Genomic DNA, 23335 nt, shown 5'->3' with positions numbered 1-23335 from the left:
TAAATTACTTCCCACGATGCCGGCGACCACCGCAGAATTCAAGTTTGAATAGAGCAGGGAAAAGGTGTTTGAAAGGCCTGTTCACTCAGCTGCATTTTAATTTCCTTTTCAATCTTGTCCCAATTAATTTCACAGAATTAATCTCACAGAAGCAAACTCGGCAGCATTGAGGCTGTGGTTTTAGCGTGGCGGTCGCTCTGCCTGAACATGAAATAGGAGCTAATATAAAAATCCATCTGCTGTGTTTGAAATACACGCCGGCTGCTGCTCAGTCCTGTCTGACATTCCAAACATCAACAGTGGGGAAAAGTGATTTGGGGGTTAGTGGCCATCAGTACTTGGCAGGGGTTCAACAACAGGTGTACTCCAAAAATCCATTCGGCCTGGGCACCAGGCATGACAGGGCAGGTGCCGAATCACCCTCCGTGTGATAGTGTGGTGCCCTGGCTTAGTTCCTTTTATCTGCAGATTGCAAGACCCTTTTGTGGACCAGCACCACTGTGGTCACTTGTTTTTGTTTCTGTTTTTCTTGAGACGGAGTCTCTCTCTGTTGCCCTGGAATGCAGCGGCGCGGTCTCGGCTCACTGCAACCTCTGCCTCCCGGGTTCAAGCGATTCTCCTGCCTCAGCCTCCTGAGTAACTGGGACTACAGGCAAGTGCCACGGCACCCAGCTAATTTTTGTATTTTTAGTAGAGACGGGATTTTGCCATATTGGCCAGGCTGGTCTCGAACTCCTGGCCTCAGGTGATCCATCTGCCTCGGCCTTCCAAAGTGCTGGAATTACAGGTGTGAGCCACTGTGCTTGGCCTATGGTCACTTGTTATAAGTGGGAGAAAAAGAGGTAAGAAGCCTCTATTTGGATAAGACAAGTCACAAGTCCTAGCTTTCAGAAAAGTGACCCTGTCTTCTTGGCTCCAGTGTCTCTCACTAGGGAACATTCTTTCCAAATAATAATAATGCTTGTTGGCAGGGCGTGGTGGCTCACCCAGCACTTTGGGAGGCCGAGGCAGGTGGATTGCCTGAGGTCAGGAGTTCGAGACCAGCCTGGCCAACATGGCAAAACCCCATCTCTACTAAAAATACAAAAATTAGCCAGGCATGGTGGCGCGTGCCTGTAGTCCCAGCTACTAGGGAAGCTGAGGCAGGAGACTCGCTTGAACCCGGGAGGCAGTGGTTGCAGTGAGCCAAGATCATGCCATTGCACTCCAGTCTGGATGACAGAGCGAGACTCCATCTCAAGAAAAAATAAAAATCATCATCATCATCATCATCATCATGCTTGTTCCACTATTCAAGATAACTTTTTTTTTTTTTTGAGACAGAGTCTTGCTCTGTCACCCAGACTGCGAGACTGGAGTACAGTGGCACAATCTTGGCTCACTGCAACCTCTGCCTCCTGAGTTCGAGCGGTTCTCCTGCCTCAACCTCCCTAGTAGCTGGGATTACAGGCTCAAGCCACCACACCTGGCTAATTTTTTGTATTTTTAGTAGAGATGGGGTTTCACCATGTTGGCCAGGCTGGTCTTGAACTCCTGGCCTCGAGTGATCTGCCTGCCTTGGCCTCCCAAAGTGCTGGGATTACAGGTGTGAGCCACCACGCCCAGCCAAGATAAGACTTAAACGCCCATTTTTTTTAAAAGCATCCTGTTCCATAAGTTATTTATGGTGGTAACATGAGCTGTTCAGAAGATAAGGACAAATTAAAGAGGGAAAGAGAAGCTCTTTTTCAATTGACTAGGAAGGAGAAGAGGCCACTGGGTGAGATCTTCCATTTAAGGTAAACTGAGCCAGTGTACATCTCTTGGGCTTGGGTTGTGTGCCTCATAAATTGGTCTGAGGCTCTTCCAAGGAATTGTCCAGTGCCTTATTTCCATGGAAAGCAGCCTTGGAGCAACAAGTTGGGTACGCATAAGATTTATACTTACACGGTGGCTTAGCTGGGGTGGGAAGGTATTCTCATGGCCCAGACACACCAGGGTCTGGGTCATCTTCCTTGCTGATGGAATTGATGTGGAAACAGGGAGCCATACAGACAAAGTCAAGTTTAGCGTGGAACACGTGATGCTGTCAGATGGTCATGGGTCTTATGTGGAGAAGAATGGACTTTGTCACCCTGGACTGCAGCTACTTAAACTCAGATGAGATCCTGGCTCCACAGCCAGTCTAGTCATCTGAATGCGGCAGGCCTGCGCCAGCACACCTGGACTATGTTAACACAACACTATGTCAATTATAATGGGAGTTTTAACCCGGTTTTCTCCACCTACTTCCTCAATGGGCTACTTAAAAGAATGGAGACCTTTCCCCTCCCTTGACCCCGTTCTTTCCAAAAGAGATTTGTATGTTGTAAAAATTATCTTAATGCAGCAATACTTCCTCTTTTAAGTGTGCTTAGTTGAATGTGACAACAACCCTCATAAAAACAGATAAGTTAATTCCTTCAATTGCCTTAAATGAAGGATTTTTTTTTCTTTTTTTTTTTTTTTTTAATTTCAGGGCTCTGAGGGAAAGGAGGTGTTTGGTGACATCTAGTGTCCATTTAGGACTTCCTCAGGCACCATACCCTCTGGTTGGCTGAGTGGGGGATGGGTGGGGGGTTATCTGGGAGGTAATTTAGGGGTAGTAAGTGGGGAGAATATAGGCCTGGGGCACAGGCTGCCCAAACAGTGTGATGAAACTGATCAATGCCTGTCAAAGAGCTATTATGCACCTCTGACCTAATCAAAGGGGTGGGTGAGGGGATCCTATGGCAAAGTATCTTTTCTTATTTATGATGGTATGCAAGAGAAGCAGAAGCTGTCCCCACCACCCCATTTCATGTTAACAAGCAGGTCAACACTGTGCTGTGATGACGAAGATGATGATGATGGTGTTTTCTCTCATTAATAACCCCTATGGGAGGCAACGGAGTTAGGAGGATGGGAATGGGATTTGGGGTCAGCTGGAAGGCAACGGTCATATACCGGTCAAATTCAGTAGAGGCCATTCCTTTCCCCCAGACAGGAACCAATCGTCTAGAACAAACCCTGGCAGCCTCATTCCTTCCAGGTAATTTTTATAAATGAGGGGACACCCATTCCAAGAGAGGACAAAAGGGAGAGGGTGTTTATGTGTGTGTGCATATGCATGCATGTAAACCTGCTAACAAGAGGCCCAGTTGCTCATCAACCCATCCTGCAAACCCTGACCATTTATTCTAAAACCCATTTTTTAAAAAGAGAATAAAATTGGCATTTTATTTTATTCTATCTATCTATAAATAGTCTAATCTATTTATTCCTAAACAGTTGTCCTGGACAAGACCTTTCACTTTTCTCTCTCTCTGTGTATGTATGTGTGTGTGTGTGTGTGTGTGTGTCCATGTGCACACAGTTTTCAGTTGGGGAAAATTCCAGACCAGATAATTAACTACGAAGCCCAGACAGAAACGTTTACCTAGAACCATATAAGCCACGGCCGGGTTAGGTTAATGCTCAGAATTGCCCGATGCTTTACAAACTCCAGTGTAAAAAATTCCAGCCATTTATTTTGCAGTGAATTTATAACAAATGCTGTTAACGTCTTCGTCTTTTGACAGAGGTAATAATAAATTCACTGTTAAAGATGGTAGTTTAATTCCTTATACCTCCAATACTGCACAGAATAAACCATATTCATCACTGAGTAATTTTTTACCACATAAATCTTTAAAACTAACCGGTGAAGGCTGCGGAAACTGAAATATTGTGAATTTATTAGATATGCCCATGTAGTATTGGATTCAGAGGTTTCCATTTGAATATATTATGGGGAAAATTTGTGTCTTTAACTGTGACATTCCCTCCATTTCCCACCGCCAGTATTATAACAAGCAGCTCCTCCAGAGTCAACTGCACATTTATTAGACAGAGATTTAGTAATAAACTCCCCACTAATCTGCCAAAGAGGCTGGATGACATTTTGGTGAGATGCCCTATTTAAAAGGAGTCACAAAAGCTTTGTTTCAGTATAATTATTTTCTCAAAAGAAACTCAGCCTCCCCAAACCTCTTCTGCCACCATTTCTTGGTATTGCGTGATTCAGCTCTCCAACCAAACTAGCAAAATATTGAAACAAAGTATAACCTCATTGCTAACATACAGGGCAGTAACTTCTATGGAGATTATAGGATTAGTTATGCAAGACTGAAGGTAATTGATTAGAACACAGAAAAGCTTAAATTTGCAGACATTCCCAGATGTATGGTATTTAAGGCTAATAAAAAGATCATATTGATTCTCAAATTAGAAATAATAGAAATGGTTTCAGAAAACTAGTTATTTAAAAACTTTCATCTTGACATATGAAACGTTAAAGATACAGTTAAATCCTCAGATTTGAACAAAAATCCTTTTACTCTACATATTAATTTTGAGTGAAAATCTGTACCTGATAGATGAGAATATTCTGAACCTTTCTCATGATTTGCTAGTGAAGTGACAATGAAACTAACCAAGTATATCAAATTGTAACACCCTCTCCAGTTTCATTAAGGAAACATTAATATTGCTAAAATGAAAAATATTTTTTTCTTTTAAATGCAGAAATGTTCATCATATTTAGCAAAGAGAGTCTGCAGTTTCTCTGTTCCTGATAATATTCTGTATTTGGGGAGAGTTCCAAATACTAAGAACTTACATGGAGCATTGTGAACTTTACCGTTTTTTAATAAAATTGGTTTCTAACTATTAAACAAAGGAGAAGAATCTCCTGGCAGTGCAAGGCTGTAGCCCATCCGAATAATTGTTAAAAGACAGAACCCAGCTAGAAAGATAGGCATAATACCAGCAATTAATATTCAGCATTTCACATTATAGTCAAGAGGATGTGTTTTTCTTTGTGATGTGGCTCATAAGCTAAGAGTGTTGGGAGCCAGACTCTGAACTGTGTCTTCTTTTTGTGGATGAGGATTAAGGAGGAAAAAAACAGCGACGACAATCCTGCTCCATCTGTAAATGAACAAACATCTTGATTTTATAGCTATTTGCTTTGTAAAACTAAGGAATGAAACAAAAATTACTGGATGCCTAAGTAACACTTTAATTCTGAATTCATTTACGCTATAGCTATGTAGTTGTCACAAACCATAATGCAGTATTTAATTAAAATAACAGAAGTGCATCTAGATATGTCCTGGGGTAGCTGTCACCAAATTATACTCTATGCCATCGGTATTTTATTTATGAAATGGCAGATTCTAAGGTGCAACTAGGCTGATACAAAAGCATGAACATTTTAAACTTGCATTTTTAGAAAGGCTCTTTTTTTTTTTTTTTTTCCTGCTGCGTCTTTAAATGTTTTCCTCCTTCTGTCTTTGGAAGGGGAGGGAGGTTAGTGTGATTGTTTAAAGATCTCTCTAAATCTTGCTTTTCAACTGTTGACCTCCTAAGTCTTCTGGCTGTGAAATCCCCGTCTGTTGTCATGGAAAGGCTTGCGAGGTTCACAGGAGCCACAGCAAGTGTGGGACATCTTAGGCAGAACTTGGACGTGGATTCCAGGAGGGTAGGGAAAAGAGCAAACCGTTTCAGACTCTCTGTGCCTGTTCCCACATAATCTTCCTTGCACCTTTTTCCACCTATAAATACCCGTTGTCGTGTACACGCTTGCTCGCTCTACTTTGTGGATGTTCACATGCAGACATACTGCTCTTTTTCATAAGCGCATAGCATCTATCTTATACGCACCCACCATCTATCTCCTTGTTCACATTGGCTGTCCCATCCACCTCCTTGTCTGCAGAATTATGTTCAGCAAGGTCCCGATTTATAGGAAATAAATAATGAAAATGGAACGGACTGGGAAAGATAATCGAAACATTCAAATTGTTATTTTTCACTGTACTTTACACAAACAGAGCATCTATAAACACCTAGAAAGGGTGTTGGCTGATCCCTACAAAGCAATGCCTTTTGAAACATTGTAACCAAGGGGGTCTCTACACCTTTCCTGTTCCTCCTCTCCTGCTTTTTGATGCTCACCATTTTTAAATGGTAAACAATGCTGTGTTATTATTTTCATTCTTTCTGCTTATTTATCCTGTCTATAATGACAAGTTTTTGTCATCACTTATCCTCTACAAGATAATCCTCAGAATTACAAAACAGAAACAATAATTGCAATCACCTTTTTAAAGAAAAAAGCCCTTGTATTTGCTGTATAAAGATATTTGGATAATGGCATCATCGGATCACAGCCTGATCCTACAGCAAGGGTCTTTTGGAGAGTTTCTTCTACACACTTGTAATTATTTTAGCCCCTTTCACAGGTCACATAAAAAGTTAATTTCAATCGCTGCTAATTTCCGTCCAACAAGAGTGCAGTACTTTAAACCACCCAAAATAATTGGATTCAAAACAAATTTAGGAAATTGAGTGTGTTAGAAAGCAAATAAAAATATCCTTTTGGTAAGGAGGAGGGTGAAAGTAGTAAAAATGGCCTTTTTTCCCCTTCTTTCCCCTTCACAACTTTGCCATTAAAGTTGCACCTACAGCTAGAAGTTTGTCCGTGAAAAATGGTCATTTTGTTTCTCTGCTCAAAGAATGTTATTAAAATGCTAATTTAAAAGAAAAAGGAGTTAAATATCTAGCGATGGTGCATTCTAATTGCAACCATAATGAGCTCTCTAAATGTGCGTGCCCCTGACACACACAGAGCATAAACAGCAGTAAACAGATCATTAGTACCCGCGTTCATTTATTCTGGCGACCTTACCATGACCCCACCGAGGGTAGGGTGAAAAGCAGGTGGATCTGGCTGTGACACCCCCTAGAGGGATCCAGGAAATGAAGCTATAAGCGGTTGTCATGGAAACGCCTATGTGTGCAGATGATGTAACACACCGACAGGCTGTAGGGCTCCGCAACTGGGACGTTGCTTTTCCCTCGCCGGAACAATCTTGAGGATTAAATTATTCATTTCTTTAATTCACAAAGCAAAAGGAATCCTAATTTTCTTGGTGATGTGCAACTCTCTTCCATTTGTCTAGGGTCTGGAACATGGTGACTTGTCATCCCTCTTTCTCCAAAACCCACCCCAGCTAGACCCAAATTGCTGAATCTGGCGCAATCAAGTGGGGAAAGGCAGTGGAAATCTGACACCCAACATCTCTACTTAAGGAGAGAAAATCTAAGGTTTTAAGCTAAAATTAAAAATATAGACAGAGTCCTCTCCTAATGAGGGCATGTTGACCAGAGACTAAATGTATACTTGTCCTGAATGAGATGGCTTTGTTTAGAGTGGAGCAGAGACAGGGTTGGCCCTGGGAACTAACAAGCTGGTACCTGATGCCAAGAGTGGAAAGGAGAGAGGCTCCAACCCCAAATGAACACATCACCCTAGCATACCCTATGTGTGCTTTCTAGCAAGGTGCAAGGAAAAGAGATAAGAGAGAACGAGCATCTGCTCACCCTCCCATGTCCATTTGAGAGAATCGAGATTAATAAAAATAATTCTTTGGAGAATGATTCCACTCTATCCTACCCTGTTTTGCACCAAACAACCTCAATAACCTTAAGGCAACAGTAGAATAACTTTTCTTCTTTTTTTTTAAAGGAAGCAGAAAAGACGATCTCTGGAAATTATTTTAAAATAAAAAATCTCCCGGCCTGCGCCTCCCCCAACACCCCCTCCCCATTGCACTTTAGATGAACCTGTGATATTGTAGCAATGGCCCTTGAAGTGCAGTAGGGAGGTGATTTAGGAGAATATTAAAGGCAATGTGGAGATTCAAGGCGCCTCTCTCAGGGAGATCTGGAGAAATACGCAGCACAGATGGGCCGAGCAGATTAAACATTTCCGTCACATTGTTTCCAAATTGTGTTGTGGTGCCTGAGGCTGGTACTGCGGTCAGAGCAAAACAGAGCGGTGCAGAGCTGCGCAGTTTATGGAATACATATTAATACGCCCGTCTCACATGGTATCACAATTCTATCAGCTCCGAAATGGTGCTGTCTTTATTGTTCCTGACTTCTGCACTTGGCACCTTGTTTTCTCCCATCTGCAAAGTGTTTACCTTCCCTCTATCCCTTCTTTCTTCTTTAGGTAAAGTTGTGTGCTTCTTTTCATTTCTCTTTCTTTACAGCCCTATTTCACCTTTGCTCTTACCTTCACAGCTTGATTGTTCTGTCACATACACTTGCACACACCCACTCTGTGTTTTGCACACATTTCACCCACAACATGCAGTGTGTGCACAGGCCCTCCACACCTCCGTGGCCTCAGCTTGATCATTATCCACTCCCACCCTGTTCAGGACATAAGCTTCACCTTTAAGGCTGAATGTTCTCTCGCACTCAAGTGCTCTGAGACCCTCCATCTAGAGAACACATTCCTCTTCTCAGAACACTTAGCTCAGGGTGCGCTTTGTGGAGTTGTCACCATGACCCACCCCCCTCCCAACTGCTGTTGCTGACTACCCAGCCTTCCCATGTCCCCCTTCTCACACTTGCATACTTTCCCCTGTATCCAGGCCCATCAATCTCCAGATTAGCAAGTTCCCTGAAATGTAACAGTAAATAAAACTAGCTCAATTGAGGCAAATTTAATGATTCATTTTTATTATGATTTATAGACCAAAACTCTGAATAATGGAAAAAGAGAAAGTGATTGCCAAGAACTTAAAACAGATTGTAAAACAGCCTGGAGAGGCTGCCACGCTACCCAAGGTTTCAGCCAAGTGCTGAGCTTCGATCCTTTCACAAGTTCCAACATCACTAACCCACCGGCCACCCAACTGACCATTTCCTTTCTCCTTCTGGAAAATCTCTTCATAAAACTATCTGTGCTGAAAAATGGGCACTTTGTCTTTGGTGAACAATTCTTGTTCCCAGCCTTGTTTTTCTCGGCAGTTAGAAGGATGCTGATTTGGAGCCCTTAATTTATTTCATAGGGTATGATATTCTAAGAAAGCATTATATATCCAAAGCTGGATTTTAGGAGTAGAGAATTTGTGGGGAAATCCAGAGTAAAAATACGATGTCTGGGACTGACCCTGGAATAGTACAAGTTACTCTGCTTAGGAATTCAAATTTCCCATCTTAACTAATAGCAATGTATGATGCACAAACACTAATAAGAGAAATAAGCAATCATAAACCAATATTTCTGTGATTGATTGACCTTTCCATACATATATCAAGCATTTACTAATCTTTCGGGTTAGGGGCTGATAGACTGTTCTCTTGAAGATGCATCCTCTTGTTTATAAGCACTGATATAGGGAACTTTTATGGTAAAAAGAACAAAAAAGTATGAGATATTTTCTGGGAATCTTGTTCCACGGAGACTTGGAACCCAATTCAATGTGAAAAGAGAATGTTTCTGTTAGGAGCTTTATCCAGGGAACTGACAGTGTCAAGCAGCTTGCTCCAAGCCATTTGAATGGAAACTGTGAGAAGACACCACAACTCTGAAGTCACAGTTAAACAGATGATGCCTTGGCCAGGCGCAGTGGCTCACGCCTGTAATCCCAGCACTTTGGGAGGTGGAGGTGGGCAGGATCTCTTGAGGTCAGGAGTTCGAGACCAGCCTGGCCAACATGGTGAAACCCCGTCTCTACTAAAATACAAAAATTAGCTGGGCGTGGTGGCGGGTGCCTGTAATCTCAACTACTCAGGAAGCTGAGGCAGGAGAATCGCTTGAACCCGGGAGGCAGAGGTTGCAGTGAGCCGAGATCGTGCCATTGCACTCCAGCCTGGGTGACAAAGAGCAAAACTCCATCTCAAAAAAAAAAGAGATGATTCCTTAAAAGAGGTACACAAGAGCAGTCGACCTTTGAGGAGGAACAGCCTCTTCAGCTGGAGGGCTGAAGCCCATGAAATCCAGCATGGAAGCAGTTAGGATTCTTGATTCCCCTTCATTGTTTTTTTTTTTTTTAAATGGAGTCTCGCTCTGTTGCCCAGGCTGGAGTGCAGTGGTGCAATCTCGGCTCACTGCAACCTCTGCCTCCTAGGTTCAAGCGATTATCCTGCCTTAGCCTCCCGAGTAGCCGGGATTACAGGTGTGCGCCACCATGCCCAGCTAATTTTTTTGTATTTTTAGTAGAGATTGAGTTTCACCATATTGGCCAGGCTGGTCTCGAACTCCTGACCTTGTGATCCACCCGCCTTAGCCTCCCAAAGTGCTGGGATTACAGGCGTGAGCCACCGTCTCCGGCCTCTCCTTCATTGTATTTTTTAAAAGCAGGGGCCTGTGTGTGGGGAGCGCGAGGATACCCACCCTGGGCCAAAGTACAGATCCAGCCCATAAAGACCATTGTATTTTTTTCCCATAGAGTGCCGGCTGGTAAACTGCAAAGGGTTCATAAACCCTTTGAGAATCTGATGAAAGTTCTGGGCCTCACCCCAGAGACGAGGCCTACGTACACATGCACACAAAATTTTACACCAGTTTCAGGGAGTTCAAAGATTCCTTCACATCCATCCACAGAGAGGCCAGGGGTTCACAGACTCTGGTTTAAGAATCTGTGCCCTGGAGGATGGTGAGTTCCTTTTGTTGGAACAGCCTAGGATTCACTGAGCCTAGAAATTGAATTCTCATCCCAAGACAGGATGGTCATTCCAGGTCATGTCTGTGCTACTCCAGGGGAGCCATGGAAGAGCTTATACAAATAGGAACCAGCAGGGAGGAGAGAAATTAAAATGTAGCAATCATGGAGTAGGGGTATTTAATCTCTTTTAAGCCTTATGATAGGCGCCTGCTGGTTTTCCCCCAATATCCCCTGACACCTACTGACAGGGTATTTGCAGCACCACACAGGGACTCAGGGCCCTGTGACAGGAGGAGCTCTGAGGAGGTCCATGATAGTCCTGAAACCATAAACAGCAATAGGAAACCACTGGAGGCAGAGTCAAGCTGTGCAACATGCCCATTGTTGGTGGCCATACTGCTTTTTGTTTATAGAATTTGCTGTTCTTTTTATGGCAGGTTTGGTAGGGTTTTTTTTTTTCCTTGTTGATGGAGATTAGCATAAATCCTTTTATGGCAGTGTGAAATCTGCCATAAACACTTTGATTGTTGCTGATGGTGAGCGCTGCGTCTATTTCAGGTTCACTCAATGCTTCATTCATCCAGACCAATAGTTTCTACAGCCATATAATGGAGTGCAAATAGCCAACTTTTATTTTTAAGACTTCTTCATGTGGGTTGTTCAAGGAGGTGGGGCAAGGTTGGTATTGAGAGAAGCAGATGTTTAGTCAAACCTAGAAATATTTATGAGGAGAACAAACCATACACTGTGCTTATTTTAGATGAAAGTTTCTAAAAAGACTTTGTGGCAAGAAGCAAGCCCTGATGGAAAGGTTTGTGGGTTTTTTTTTAATAACTTTTTATATTCTTATCTAAAACATCTTCATTGAACAATTTTGTATAATTTAAATCTTAGCCCTACCATTGAGAATATATGTAGAGTTATGGAATAGTGAGCATGTATAATTCTGAAGCCCTAACACAGTCACTTGTAGATGTGCATCCCTACCTTGAAGACAGAAACACTTCCAAATTGAGGATTTCAGGTCTCCTGGGAGCCTCTCAGCATTTTTCCAATCTTTCCAAACATCTGGGCAAAGAGAAATCAGACTTTATAGAAAACATTGATCCCAGAAATTCAGTTCTCTTTGCCATCCTAAAACTAAAACTCAAGAATCAGCAACTTAATAAAAATGCAGTAAATTAGCACCTTTAGACAGGAGCAGGGTTCATTCAGAGCTGGGGTCTGCCTGACTGAGCCAGTACTCTCTCCATTTTAATAGTTTAATAAAAATTAGCATAATTAACGAACATCTGTATGATCCAGAGTGGTGCAATTTGGCACTTGGAAACGAGGGCTTAAACATGATTGCTGTGAGTTTAATGTTGTTTTAATTCTTTTTGGCACTGTGCAGTGAAATAAACGTTTGGTGGTGATAGTTCTCGGCCGGATCTCATTTGCATTTTTCTCCCTTTGATTATGAGCAATTGTGGACTCCCCAGCAATTCATCAAAGTAGAAATTATTTTAAAATACCTCGTGGTGTTCAGACTGGGCTGGAGCAACGCATGGGGGTGGTAGTGGGAGAGAAGGTTAGAAATTTTCCATTCATGCTTTAAACATCTCAGCCCTGCAGCCCTTTTCGGGTATACAGCCAAGGGATGAAATCTGGAAAAGACAGTCAGATCCCGGGACCTGTAGGTGCTTTGATTAAGCTCCCAGGCTCCCACAGCAGGATGCATATGGTCTCTGGGACTGTGCCATCCTCCTTACACTTCTGCCTGCTCTTTTGTTTTGAAGGGCAGAGAGTTGATTTCACTCATTTCAGTTCTCATCACTGTGGCGAGGCTTCTACATCTGCAGTCGGCAGGGTCAGTGTTCCCCTGGAGCAAGAGCAGACAGACTGGGAGCCTGGCTTTTGCAGGTACCCTGCTGAGACTCATCTGCTTCCTGTTCGCACCCTCTTCGAGTTGGCAGAGAGCACCTTCCCAAGGCTTCATCCCTACTCCTGGCATTACGACTAAAGAGGGGTGCTACAAAGTGTTAGTCAAAGTTAGGAGCGTTGAACAACCCCCGGGGAGCAAATGCCTTACTGTCCCCTGCAGGTGATGCAGATGACAGCATCTGGCAGGTGGAAGACCACATTTCACACATTTCAGCAAGTTGACTTGGATCAAAAGACTCTCAGACAACACTGCCCACTCTCTGCCTGTGAGATAGCAGAAGAGCTAAAGCTAGTTTTTACGAGTTACAATGTGAGAGGTAGACAGAGTATGTATTTCCCCTTCACAGCAAGGCAACACTACAAGAAAACTTAAGTCAGAAACTGCCCTAATTTCAGTGTCGGAAAATGGACAGTAACATATCTTGTACCAAGAGGAGCTTAAAAATGCCCTGACAGGCTGGGCAGGGTATAATCCCAGCACTTTGGGAGCCTGAAGCTGGGGGATCACTTGAGCTCAGGAGTTCAAGGCTAGCCTAGGCAACATTGCAAAACTCTTATCTCTACAAAAAAAAAATACAAAATAATTAGCAAATAAAAAATAATTAGGCAGTGGCATGCACCTGTGGTCCCAGCTACTCTGGAGGCTGAGGCAGGAGAATCTCGAGCCCAGGAGGCAGAGGTTGCAGTGAGCCGAGATCATGCCACTGCACTTCAGCCTAGGTGAAGGGAGTGAAATCCTGTCTCCCAAAAAAAAAAAAAAAAAAAAGCTAAAGAATTATAGGTAATTTCCCATAAGACGTTGCGAACTGTAGGGAGAAGCTGGCCTGGGAGAGGGAGGAAATGAGGTGTGGTGGGTCAGGCACAGTGGCTCACTCCAATAATCCCAACAAGCAGGAGGATTGCTTGAACCCAGGAGTTCAGGACCAGCCTGGGCAACATAGGGAGACCCCATCTCTACAAAAAAAAAAAAAAAAGTTTTTTTTTTAACTAGCCAGGCATGGTGAAATGCACCTGTAGTCCTAGTTACTTAGGAGGCTGAAGCGGGAGGATCACTTAAGCCCAGGAGTGGTTGCAGTGAGCTATACTTGCACCACTGCACTCCATCCTGGGCAACAGAGCGAAACCCTGTCTCAAAAAACAAAACAAGAAAAGAAGGTGTGGTGTAGGAAGAGGTGGCAGACAGACACATTTAGTTATTTAAGGCTGATTTTCACAAGGCACTTCCCTGGTCCTAAAAGGATCAACTCAGTAGTCTCACTTCTTGTGGCATTTCAGACTCTTATTGTTGTATAAGGAGCCATTTGAGGAGACTGTCTCCAAAGGTAGTTGATCTCTTTCTGCCACAACTAGTTCAATCACCAGGGGAATATCTTGGAGTTAGTTGTAACTAAATCTGCTCAACTAAGAATACAAATTCCCACTGCCCCCTTCATTTCATCATAATCTCATTTAACAAGTTTTTTTGTTTGTTTTGTTTTGTTTTGTTTTTATTTGAGATGGAGTTTCGCTCTTGTTGCCCAGGCTGGAGTGCAATGGCATGATCTTGGCTCACCGCAACCTCCGCCTCCCGGGTTCAAGCAATTCTCCTGCCTCAGCTTCCCGAGTAGCTGGGATTACAGGCATCCTCAACCACGCCCAGCTAATTTTTGTATTTTTAATAGAGACAGGGTTTCACCATGTTGGTCAGGCTGGTGTCGAACTCCTGACCTCAGGTGATCCACCCACCTCGGCCTCCCAAAGTGCTGGATTACAGGTGTGAGCCACCGCGCCCGGCCTCATTTAACAAGTATTTATTTGGCCCCACTCTGTGCTGGATATAGTGCTGAATGCTGAGAACACAAAAGCAAACAAAACCAACAAGGTCCAGTCCTCAGAACTTTCCAACTAGTGATTGACACTGAGACAAAGACAGGCAGATAGAAGGCAGTGTAATCACAAGCTCTTTTCCAGGAAAGCACAGGGCACAGCACTGTGGACCGTGTAACCGGGACCCCACACAGTCAGAGAGTGTCAAGGAGAGGCTTCTAGGGAGTGAGTAACTCAGGAACTGAGATCTGAAGGCTGCTTAGGAGTAAGCCCCATGAAATGAGAAGGGAAGTAGAGGCTAAACAGGCAGAGGAAAGGTTCCAAGGTGAGGGAGCCTGTGGCCCATGGGAGCAGCTGAGACAAGTTCTATTTTACTAAGGAACACTAAATCTAGGAGGTGAGTAACAATGCTGAACAGTGAGTGGGACTGGGTCATGCAGGGCCTTGTCTACTTTGTTAAGAAGTTAAGGGGTGGCCAGGCACAGTGGCTCATGCCTGTATTCCCAGTACTTTGGGAGACCGAGGCAGGCAGATCACCTGAGGTCAGGAGTTCAAGACCAGACTGGCCAATATGGTGAAACCCCATCTCTACTAAAAATACAAAAATCAGCGAGGTGTGGTGGCAGGCACCTGTAATCCCAGCTACTCAGATTGAACCCAGGAGAATCATTTGAACCCAGGAGGCAGAGGTTGCAGTGAGCTGAGATCGTGTCAGTGCACTCCAGACTGGGCAACAGGGGCTATGGCTCAAAAAAAACAAAAACAAAAACAAAAACCAGTTAACAAGGGGCATTGGGAACCCACCGAAAGTTTCCAAGCAGAGCAGTGACATTATCAATGTGTACTGTAGGGAGCGAGTCTGGCTGCACAATGAATAGAGTGGAGAAGAAGAATGCTGATACAGAGATTAACTTGGAGACTGTTTCTGTAGTTCTCACGTGAGACGATAGCTACATGACCCTAAGGCATTGGCAACTGGGAACGGAAAGAAGATGGAGGATTTTAGTAATATTTTAGAGGGAGAATCGACAGGACTCAAGGATTGATTAGAAGAGGGGGATGGGGCTGGGCGAAGTGGCTCACACCTGTAATCCCAGTACTTTGGGAGGCCGAGGCGGGTGGCTCACCTGAGGTCAGGAGTTCGAGACTAGCCTGGCCAATATGGTGAAACCTCGTCTCTACTAAAAATACAAAAATTAGCTGGCCATGGTGGCACGTGCCTGTAGTCCTAGCTACTCGGGAGGCTGAGGCAGGAGAATTGCTTGAACCTGGGAGGTATAGGTCGTGGTCAGCCGAGATCATGAGATCACACCACTGCACTGCAGCCTGGGTAACAGAGAGCAAGACTCCATCTTAAAAAAAAAAAAAAAAGAAGAAGAAGAAGAAGAAAGAAGAAGAAGGTGAAAGTGAAATTGGGAATGACTCCTGAGATTCCAGCCTGGGTAACAGTGCATTGTAGTACAACTCACTGAGATAGAGAACCAAGGAAGCAAAGATAGCTTTGGAGTCAGGATGGAGGTGAAGGCAGGATTACATGTTAAATTTAGGACATACTGAGTTTGAACAGCTTGGTGGAATGCACTTGGCTATTGGGGTCCAGTACAGACCTGGGGTGGAGCTGTGGTCATGAGTGATAAACACAGACATGGTGGATACTCTACAGAGATATATGGGATTGCTCTAGTAAAGCGCATCAAGACAGAAGAGAAGGCCAGGACAGAACCCTGGAAAACAACCACATTAAAAAGCAGAATTGAGCAAGATGAGCCTGCAAAGGAGAATGAGAAGAAGTAGAAGTAGAAGGAGAGAAACCAGGAGAGTATAATTATCATAGAAACTAAGAGAATAAAAGGCCTCAAGGAGGACCAATAGTGCCAGCACTGCTGAGAGATCAAGTAAGTTAAGGACTGAGAAGTGCTCAGGGAATTTGAGCAATGCAGAGGTTACAGGAGACCATGGAGAGAGAGCCTAAGTAGAGGACGGCAACCAAGCCTGATGAGAGCGGCTTCAACAGTGAACAGGAAGGAAGTTGGAGCAGTGAGTGAGTAAACTTTCCCAACAAGTGTGGCATAGACTAGAAGAAATGGGAAGTAGACATCAGTGGCAGCTATTTAATGGTTGTTTTAAAAAATGAGAGAAACTTGAACACCTTTCAGTGCTGGTGGAAGGAGCCATTTACTTTACAGGCAATGGTCAGTCTCCACAGAACCTCATCTCTCGGAAAGGAAGGAGGAGGGTTGCAAGTGCGTGTTGTGAGGGGTAGTCTTAAACCAGGGGAGGGGTGCTTCCCCGACTTTAATGGGAAAGAAAGATGGTTGTCAATACAGGTAAGTTCCTGCTTTGGTGGCTGGTGGCTGACAAATCTGATGGCTTCTCTTTTCCCTTTGAAGGTGGAGAAGAGGTTGTCAGAAGCAACATGAGTTTGAGGAGGGGAGATATTAGATATCATAATTCTATGATAATTATATGCATCCAGAGATAAAAAGATCACCAGATAATGCTAGGGACTCTGAATTTTACATATCACCAATCTGGTTTTACTTCTTTTGTTTTGTTTTTCCTAATAGTACTCAGCAACCAAGTGTACAAAGAAGCAGTTAGCTCTTTGGTACCCCAAATCCAATTGAACTGGAATATGTGATATTTCCCATACTTAAAATTTCATTCGGGGCCAGGCACGGTGGCTCATACCTGTAATCCCAGTACTTTGGGAGGCTGCGGCGGGTGGATGACGAGGTCAGGAGCTCAAGACCAGCCTGGCCAACATGGTGAAACCCCGTCTCTACTAAAAATACAAAAAATTAGCTGGGCGTGGTGGTGCACACCTGTAGTCCCAGCTACTCAGGAGGCTGAAGCAGAAGAATCGCTTGAACCCAGGAGGCAGAAGTTGCAGTGAGCTGAGATCTCACCACTGCACTCCAGACCGGGCAAAAGAGCGAGACTCCATCTCAAAAAAAAAAAAATTTATTTTGGCCAGGCACAGTGGCTCACACCTGTAATCCCAGCACTCTGAGAGGCCGAGGTGAGCAGATCACGAAGTCGGGAATTCGAGACCACCCTGGCCAACAGGGTGAAACACCGTCTTTACTAAAAATACAAAAATTAGCTGGGCGCAAGCCTGTAGTCCCAGCTACTCAGGAGGCTGAGGCAGGAAAATCATTTGAACCCAGGTGGTGGAGGTTGCAGTGACCCAAGATTGTGCCACTGCATTCCAGCCTGGGCAACAGAGTGAGACTCTGTCTCAAAAAAAAAAAATTTTTTTTTCATTCTAATTTTACTTCTTTCAAAAGAAAGAAAACATTTTCTGGTGCTATCAGAAATAGCCCCATACTCAGAGTGGGCACAGTGGCTCACGCCTGTAATCCCAGCACTTAGCAAGGCCGAGGCTGGTGGATCACTTGAGGTCAGGAGTTTGAGACCAGCCTGGCCAACATGATGAAACCCCATCTCTACCAACAATATAAAAAATTAGCCAGTTGTGGCCAGGCGCAGTGGCTCACGCTTGTAATCCCAGCACTTTGGGAGGCTGAGGCGGGTGGATCATCTGGGGTCAGAAGTTCAAGACCATCAAGGCCAACATGGTGAAACCCCATCTCTACTAAAAATAGAAAAATTAGCCGGGCGTGGTGGTGCGCGCCTGTAATCCCAGCTAATCGGGAGGCTGAGGCAGGAGAATCGCTTGAACCTGGGAGGTGGAGGTTGCAGTGAGCCGAGATTGCGCCACTGCACTCCAGCCTGGGAGACAGAGCCAGACTCTGTCTAAAAAAAAAAAAAAAAAATAGCCGGGTGTGATGGCACGCACCTGTAATCCCAGCTACTCAGGAGGTTGAGACAGGAGAATTGCTTGAACGTGGGAGCCGGAGGTTGCAGTGAGCTGAGATCTTGCCACTGCACTCCAGCCTGGGCGACAGTGCGAGACTCCGTCTCAAAAAAAAAAAAAGAAATAGCCCCATACTCTTCAACATCTGCTGTGCTTTTGAGAAGCTTTTCTGTATTCAAGGAGCTGCATCCTCACTCTGTGACTACCCCTTAAACTCTCTTTAAAACCCTCTCATCCTCTTTCTTGTTTGTTCCTCTCTGTGACTAGCCTGTCATTATTAATGTACCTGTCACCTCTCACCTGTTCTAGGGAAAGAATCTAATGTTTAGAGCATCTACTATGTATCAAACACTTTCAGTTGTTTTTACTTCAGTGATACAATTTACATCCCCACAAGATAGAAGGGAGATATTATCCCTACTCTCACAAAGAAGCTAAAGCTAGGAGAACCTAAGGTCATGTGACTACTAAATGACCAAGCGAGGATTAGATCTCAGTCTGTCTGACTCCAAAGCCCATTACTCTGCTGTAAGCTCCCAAGGAGCAAGCAATCTTCTGATTCATCATTACATACCTCATGGGAACTCAAACAGCACTTTGCACATAGAAGATGCTTGATAAATATTATTGATTTGAACTATGACTTGACCCCTTGAATATCTGTAGTGTTCTGGCAATTTAATGTGTGCCCAACTTTCTCTAAGAAGCCATACCATTCGGCTTGGTTTAAAAAAAAATGCTCTTCAGGTTCAGCAAGGGCATCAAATGTGCTAATTTTACAATGTAGACAGGAAGATGGCAAAAGGAAAGTGCTTGCTCTCTTCCTCTAGATGATTTTTTTAAATTTAATAATCCCATCAGGGAAGTTAACAGTTCACAGTGATAATGGCAACAATGAAACCACCAAACAGAATCTCCCATGCAATCACTAGAATAAATGAGCAGAAGCATGAACAAATTCTAACTGACGCTATCCTCTTTTCACTTTTCAGGAGTATAACATGTATGGCTGGTGGGTGGGAGAACTGAACAGCCTCGTTGGGATTGTTCCAAAGGAGTATCTCACCACTGCCTTTGAAGTGGAAGAAAGATGAAACCCAGGTATCAGAACCATGGCCAATGAACTGCCTAATAGTTGAGTGGAACTTGTGGGCCACTACTTTGTTTCTCTGAAAGATGAGAGTTGCCAGTGAAGTAGCTTTTCTTCATTTCTCATACTAATGCTAGTGATTCACCACTGATGGAAAGAAAATGCCTCTGGAATTGTTTTTTTCTTAAATTTGGGGACAGTGTCACTTAGGATAAGGTTCAACTAATAGCAACATAAAATCTAAACTAAAAATGACTTAATTAACACAGAAAGCCAGGCACAGTGGCTCACACCTGTAATCCCAGCACTTTAGGAGGCCGAGGTGGGCAGATCACCTGAGGTCAGGAGTTCGAGACCAGCTTTACCAACATAGTGAAACCTCATCTCTACTAAATATACAAAAAAAAAAAATTAGTCAGGTGTGGTGGTGGGCGCCTGTAATCCCAGCTACTGGGGAGAATCGCTTGAACCCGGGAAGCGGAGGTTGCAGTGAGCCGAGATCACACCACTGGACTCCAGCCTGGGCAACAGAGTGAGACTCCGTCTCAAAAAAAAAAAAAAAAATTAACACAGAAATGTATTTTTCTCTTCTGCAAAAATCTAGAGGTAAGTGGTCCAAGGTATCCAGTCCCAGGTACCTTTTCTTTTTGTTCTTCTCTGTGTGCCCAACATTCTCAAGGTTACCTCAAGGCCAAGACAGATGCTCAATCTCCAGCCATCCTGTCTGCAACCTACACAGCACAGCAGGAAAGATAAAAGGAGAAGGTCAGGCCGGGCGCAGGGGCTCACGCCTGTAATCCCAGCACTTTGGGAGTCCGAGGCGGGCGGATCATGAGGTCAGGAGTTCAAGACCAGCCTGGCCAACATGGTGAAATCCCATCTCTATTAAAAATACAAAAAATTAGCCAGGCATGGTGGTGTGCACCTATAATCCTAGCTACTCAGGAGGCTGAGGCAGGAGAATCGCTTGAACCCGGGAGGCATAGGTTGCAGTGAGCCAAGATCACGCCATTGCACTCCAGCCTGGGCAACAGAGCAAGACTGTCTTGAGAAAAAAAAAAAAGAGAGAGAAAAGCATACCCTCTTCCTTTAAGGGTACTTCACAGATGTTGCGCACACACTTCCTTTCACATTCCATTGGTCAGAAGTTGGAATATATGGACACAGCAAGCTGTAAAGAAAGCTTATAGCCCTGTGTCCAGCTTAGAATTGGGAGATTCATGATTAAATACAAAGGGAAGAATGGATATTGGGATAAAACTAGCAATTTTTGCCACAGGGATGGATCTAGGTTTATCCCCAGCTCTCAAACCCAGGGCACCATTTCCCCAAAATCCCCACATATTGCAATATGACTGACCAAGATTAGGAATCCAATATGAGGATTCCTTATATTGGAACATATGAAATATTGGAACTATGGAACATAATCAAATTAACTTTTAAGTAATAGAGAATATGGTTTGCAGGGCCAGGCACAGTGGCTCACACCTGTAATCCCAACACTTCAGGAGGCCAAGGCAGGAGGATCACTTGAGATCAGGAGTTTGAGACCAGCCTGGGCAGAAGGTCTCTACAAAATTTTTTTTAAAAAATTAGCCACGTGTGGTGGTGCACGTCTGTAGGCCCAGCTACTTGGGAGGCTAAGGTGGGAGGAATGCTTGAGCCCAGGAGGTTGAGATTACAGTGAGCCATGACTGCACCACTGCACGCCAGCCTGGGTGAAAGAGCAAGATCCTGTCTCAAAAAAAGAAAAAGAATAGGTTTGTGTTGTATTAGCAAGAACCACATTGTGTTTCAAAATAGTGGGGGTGGGTGCCTGGTTTGGGTGGAGTAATAGTGGGAGCCACTTTGGTGCAGAGTGGGTTTTGGTTAGAATTAAGATTCTGATGGAGGGCCCCCAAGACCAGCATGTTGTCACTAGCTCCATCTTCTGGCCTGAAATAGGAGCAGTCTTCACTGCTGGGGGTAAAGAATGGCATCAGTGTGACAGTGATACAAACATTCCTTGGAGTCCAGACCAGAGCCCACTCTAGTGTGCTGCAGCAGCTGAGTGAACTCATTTAGGAAAATACATAAGGATAGATCTTATTCTCCAATGCCCTTGTACAACCATACAACACCAGCTCAGGCCTGTCACTCAAGGTTTGACTTTATGATTTTCCTGATGAAGACTGTTTCATGGCCACAAGTATAGAGGGTTGGAATTTTTCTGTCAAATCTAAACAAATCCAGCCAGCCGGGCATGGTGGCTTACACCTGTAGTCCCAGCACTTTCAAGGCCAAGGCAGGTGGATCACTTGAGGTCAGGAGTTCGGGACCGGCCTCACCAACATGGTGAAACCCCATCTCTACTAAAAATACAAAAATTAGCCAGGCATGGTGGCGGGCACCTGTAATCCCAGCTACTTGGGAAGCTGAGGCAGGAGAATCACTTGAACCTGGGAGGCGGAGGTTGCAGTGAGCCGAGATCGCGCCATTGTACTCTAGCCTGGGTGACAGAGACTCCATCTCAAAAAAAATAAATAAAAATAAAAAACAAATTCACCCTTTTCACTCTGTCATTTATTTGTTTATCTCTTCATTGTCTTTGGCCCAACAAATCTATTTCTAAGAATTTATCTGGCCAGGCGCAGTGGCTCACGCCTGTAATCCCAGCACTTTGGGAGGCCAAGGGGAGCAGATAACGAGGTCAGGAGTTCGAGACCAGCCTGACCAACATGGTGGAACCTCATCTCTACTAAAAATACAAAAATTAGCCAGGCGTGGTGGCGGGCGCCTGTAACCCGGCTACTCAGGAGGCTGAGGCAGGAGAATTGCTTGAATCCACGAGGCGGAGGTTGCAGTGAGCTGAGATCAAGCCACTGTACTCCAGCCTGGGCAACAGAGCAAGACTCCATCTAAAAAAAAGAATTTATCCTATTGACCATTTTTGGTTTGGGTAAAAAAAGAAAAAAAAATAGAAATTATCCTACAGCTATACTTGCACATATGCAAAATGACAGGCACATACGGTTCATTGTAATAGCAAACACTTGGAAATGACCTAAATGTTTAACAGAGAACTAGTCAAATAACTATAGTACATTCATAGAAGTGAATATTATGCAACAGTAAAAAAGAAAGGGAAACTGTGTGGAATACATTCTGAAATATGTTGGTAAGTTTAAAAAAAATAAAACAGCAAAGAATGGGAGCCAAATTTGCCCCATTTGTATAAAAAAGGACTGGAGACTATATATACCTATTTGTTTATATTTGTATGGGATATTTCTGGAGGGAGACATGAAATGATAACATGGTTGCCTCCAAGGACAGAGAAACTGTGAGACAGGGTAAGGGGGAAAACATTATACTCTGTGCCCTTTAATACATCTATATTTTGAATCACAAAAGCAAATTTATGTATTTTTCCTCCTTTAGGAAATATATTCTTCCCTCTCTCCTGCCTTTATGAGGAAACTGATCATCAAAAGTTCCCACTCCCTACTTCTGCCACCCCACCAACGCCTTGGACTCCTCTCTTTGCTGAAGAGACCCAAGTCTCTTGACACCTCAGAGTGACTGTAAGCTACCAGTAAGACAAGTGGGAAGAGGCACGTTCATCAAACCTGTTACTAAACCAGCCTAGTCATAGCTCATCCCCATCTCTAAATGTGTCCACACAACCACATCTGCCTTTTCCACAAGCTTTTCACAAAGAAGGTGAGAGAGAAGGAAACCTTGGGAGGAGGACATTACTGGTTGTTCTGGCTGGTTTGAAAAGCACAAATAAACTTGGGATGTGGTTCCTTGCCATGTGTGATGATGTTGAGCTCCTTTTTGTAAGATGATATCAATATGTCAGCTCTGGGCATTTTTACCACCTCCCAATAAAGTGGAGATAGCATGAGAGAAAACAAAAGCCCAGAGAAAAAAGGAGACTTGGAATTGTCTTTCAGAGCAGAATCTTCTCTGGAATCCACGTCTATTGTTTATTTTTTGTCTTTTTTTTTTTTTCTGAGACAGAGTCTTGCTCTGTTGCCCAGGCTGGAGTGCAGTGGCATAATCTTGGCTCACTGCAACCTCCACCTCCTGAGTTCAAACAATTCTGCTTAAGACTCCCGAGTAACTGGGATTACAGGCGCCCACCACTACACCTGGCTGATTTTTGGTTTTTTGTTTGTTTGTTTGTTTTTGAGATGGAGTCTC

At 43.9% G+C, this 23335-nt stretch overlaps 1 protein-coding gene and 1 long non-coding RNA gene across 14 annotated transcripts in view, besides 2 other annotated features; one reads left to right on the top strand and one right to left on the bottom strand.

Moving 5' to 3' along the window:
- Positions 1-22942, top strand: part of SKAP1 (src kinase associated phosphoprotein 1) — a 311620-nt gene extending 288678 nt beyond the window's left edge. For 8 of the 13 annotated variants that reach the window (XM_047436976.1, XM_047436975.1, XM_047436973.1 and 5 more), the window contains one exon: positions 11266-11925. In XM_047436976.1, coding sequence (XP_047292932.1) covers positions 11266-11373 — 108 coding nt within the window. In that variant the 3' untranslated portion in view covers positions 11374-11925. Of the gene's footprint in view, positions 1-135; positions 576-11265; positions 11926-19046; positions 19156-22567 lie in introns of those variants that run through there. The other 5 variants (XM_005257755.5, NM_001075099.2, NM_003726.4 and 2 more) reach the window with 2 other exon arrangements.
- LOC124904018 (uncharacterized) lies at positions 3508-9743 on the bottom strand. The gene is made up of 2 exons (XR_007065827.1): positions 6731-9743; positions 3508-5814 (listed from the first exon to the last, which is right to left on the bottom strand). It is a non-coding gene; the product is annotated as an uncharacterized LOC124904018 (long non-coding RNA).
- Positions 6053-7194: an enhancer, noted in NCBI's record as "VISTA enhancer hs697". NCBI's record gives its function as "enhancer in: eye[3/9]" and the evidence as "EXISTENCE:transgenic organism evidence [ECO:0001131][PMID:17130149]".
- Positions 12497-12566: an enhancer, noted in NCBI's record as "active region_12327". NCBI's record gives its function as "activates an Ori minimal core promoter by ATAC-STARR-seq in GM12878 lymphoblastoid cells {active_cell/tissue: GM12878}" and the evidence as "EXISTENCE:reporter gene assay evidence [ECO:0000049][PMID:35858748]".
- Positions 22943-23335: the final 393 nt, after the last annotated feature.

This window comes from Homo sapiens, chromosome 17 (genome assembly GCF_000001405.40).
Source record: "Homo sapiens chromosome 17, GRCh38.p14 Primary Assembly".
Lineage (NCBI taxonomy): Eukaryota > Metazoa > Chordata > Mammalia > Primates > Hominidae > Homo > Homo sapiens.
This window is presented reverse-complemented; position numbering and strand designations above follow the sequence as displayed.